This window comes from Homo sapiens, chromosome 11 (assembly GCF_000001405.40).
Source record: "Homo sapiens chromosome 11, GRCh38.p14 Primary Assembly".
Taxonomy (NCBI): domain Eukaryota; kingdom Metazoa; phylum Chordata; class Mammalia; order Primates; family Hominidae; genus Homo; species Homo sapiens.
Window position 1 is genome coordinate 122,505,267 of NC_000011.10, and position 2,932 is coordinate 122,508,198.

General features: G+C 45.2%; 1 annotated feature.

Moving 5' to 3' along the window:
* Positions 566 to 625: a silencer, noted in NCBI's record as "silent region_4008". NCBI's record gives its function as "represses an Ori minimal core promoter by ATAC-STARR-seq in GM12878 lymphoblastoid cells {active_cell/tissue: GM12878}" and the evidence as "EXISTENCE:reporter gene assay evidence [ECO:0000049][PMID:35858748]".

The window sequence follows — 2,932 nt, forward strand, 5'->3', positions numbered from 1 at the left end:
GAAAACATAGAAAACACCTGGCACACAGAGTTTCTCACTAGAAATATCAGTTCCTGCTCTTCTCTATGGTTCTCTTGGATGCCTCAGTTGAAGCCTGCTCTGGGTACAGACCACTGGTGAGTGGGTGTGTTTAAGGCGCGGGCCTCTGTTTCCATTCCCCTTTTCTATGTAGCAGTTCTGTTGTCAGAGCCCAGCAGGACTAGGAAGGCCTCTTCCAATCTCCAGATCTCCCTCTATGAGGGAGCCTGAGATGCCTAACATGTTTTGTATCTTCTGATCTCTAGGGACTCAGAAGACAATAATAACCTTCCCTACCTCAACCAGATTCAAACCAGAAAGTGGCAAGAGAAAAGTCGCCTTGACCCAAAGGGGCATCCAGCCTCTCCCATTTCAGACGCAGGATAATGCAATCCAGACCACATGAAATTTCCCGTATTTGAAGACTGCCTCAGCCCTCTTTGCACCAGGCTTTCCAGCCTCTCTCCCTCTTGCCTCAGACTAAGCTCTCCCTCAACCACATTGTGTGACCAGGCCAATCCTTGGAGACAGAGAGATGTCTGCACTAGGGAACTTCCAAGCTGCCCAGGGGATGATGAATTCACCCCTGGCAGAAGCCAACTTGGAAACGGCATCACGGTGCTTTGTGAACATATCTATGGTGCAACAGTGACCTCCAGTGGCTGAGCCAGGAGGCAACCACTGCCCACACTGTCTCAGGCAACCCTGTCCTCCCGGAGGCTAGCGTACAGGATGATAAGCTCTTCTTGGAACCACTTCCCAGAACACCTATGCACAATATCTTAAAAAAAAAAAAAAAAAAAAAAAAAAAAAAAAAAAAGAGAGAGAGAGCAAAAACATAAGCCCAGAGTTACTCACCAATTGAATCCGACCATGTCACTCCACCACTTAGAAAACGTATGTGGTTAGTAGTCCCTCTATTGATCACAGAATAAAGTCTAAAGTTCTTAGTACCACAGACAGAGTTCTTTAGGATCTGGGTATGACTACCTGTCATTTCCTACAATGTCCTCTTTCATTAATACACACCAGACTTTCCCCTAGTCTCTAAATGGCCTGCTCTATTTTAAGTTGAGCAGTAGAGGGTCCTCTATTTAAATGACCTTCTTCACTTTTCTACTGGTACAATTTTCTTTTCTTTTTTCTTTTCTTTTCTTTCGTGTGTGTGTGTGTGTGTGTGTGTGTGTGTGTGTGTGTCTGTGTGTGTTTGTCAGGGTCTTGCTCTGTCACCAAGGCTGGAGTGTAGTGGCACAATCAAAACTCACTGCAGCCTTGACCTCCTGGGCTCAAGTGATCCTCCCACCTCAGCCTCCTCAATAGCTGGGACGATAGGTGTGCACCACAATACCTGCCTAACTTTTTAAAATCCTTTTTCTTTGGAAGGGTTTCATGTCAAAAATTGCCATCTTAGTGACACTTTCAGTATTATCTCTCCTTACCACTGTAGAATTAATTTTGTTTTCAAAACATACAGCAAGTGGAGTTAAAAACAATCCATTTATTTATTCAAAAAACAATAATAAGACATCTATTATAATGCCAGTCATTGTCCTGGATAGTCAGGATAACAGATAAAAGAGGCATGCTTTCTGACCTCAGAATGCATATAGACTAGTGGAGAATACATAGAGAAATCATTGCCATAAAGTATAGCAAGGAGCTATGTGCAAATTACACAACTGGCTTAAGAATGGAGGTCATCCCTTCAGCCTGTGCAAAAGGCAATTAGAGATCCTGCCCCAACAGTGAGAGGCATTGTCTGGGTCTTGAAGGAGTAGGAGTTAGCCAGGCACTGTAATCCCAGCCACTAGGGAGGTTGAGGCAAGAGGATTGCTTGAGGCCAGTTCTAGATCAGTCTGAACAACATAGCAAGACCCCCATCTCTACAAAAAAATTAAAAATTAGCCCAGTGTGGGGACGAGCACCTGTAGTCCCAGCTACTTGGGAGGCTGAGGCAGGAGGATTGCTTGAGCTCAGGAGTTTGAGGCTGCAGTAAGCTATGATCAAGCCACTGCGCTCCAGCCTGGGTGACTGAGCAAGGCACCATCTCAAGGGGGAAGAAATAAAGGAGCCAGGAAGATAGGATAATTTTAAAAGGGAAAGAAGAAATGAAGCATATTTGAGGCATCAAGTAACTTACACAGAAGCACGAATGTGTTGGAACAAGGGAGTAATCCATCATGGTTGGCACATGCTGCACAGCAGAGAGATATAGAGCTAGAATGCAGACTGGGATCAGAAGGCAGGATCAAGAGTGTAAAATGTTGGTTATGGGAATGAGGAGTCATTAAAGGCTCTTGAATGAAAGCACTATTTAGAAGGAATACGCTGGCACAACTAGCAATAGCACATAAGGAAAGCAAAAAGAAATCAAAATTAGGTTTCTTCCTGTTCTTGGTACTCAGAGTCACTGGGGTGTCAGTCCAATCTAATCTGAGAGGCTAAAGTAAGGTCAGTGAGTGGGTAAACAGACAGGTCAGGCACAGGACATAAACGGAGAAGACCTAAAACACAAGAAGAGCAGTCACTTGGTGTGTAGTTGTGAATAGAAACAAATGCCAAGGCCAGGCACAGTGGCTCACACCTGTAATCCCAGCACTTTGGGAGGCGATGGGGGGTGGATCATTTGAGGCCAGGAGTTTGAGACCAGCCTGGCCAGCATGGTGAAACCCCATCTCTACTAAACATACAAAAATTAGCTGGCTGCGGTGGCTCATGCCTGTAGTCCCAGCTATTCGGGAGGCTGAGGCAGGAGAATCACTTGAACCCAGGAGGCAGAGGTCGCAGTGAGCCAAGATCATACCACTGCACTCCAGCCTGGGTATAGAGTGAGACTCTGTTTCAAAAAAAAAAAAAAAAAAAAGCCAAAGTTTCAGAAAGTAAGAGGTCCAGGTCCAGGTGAAAATGTGGAGAA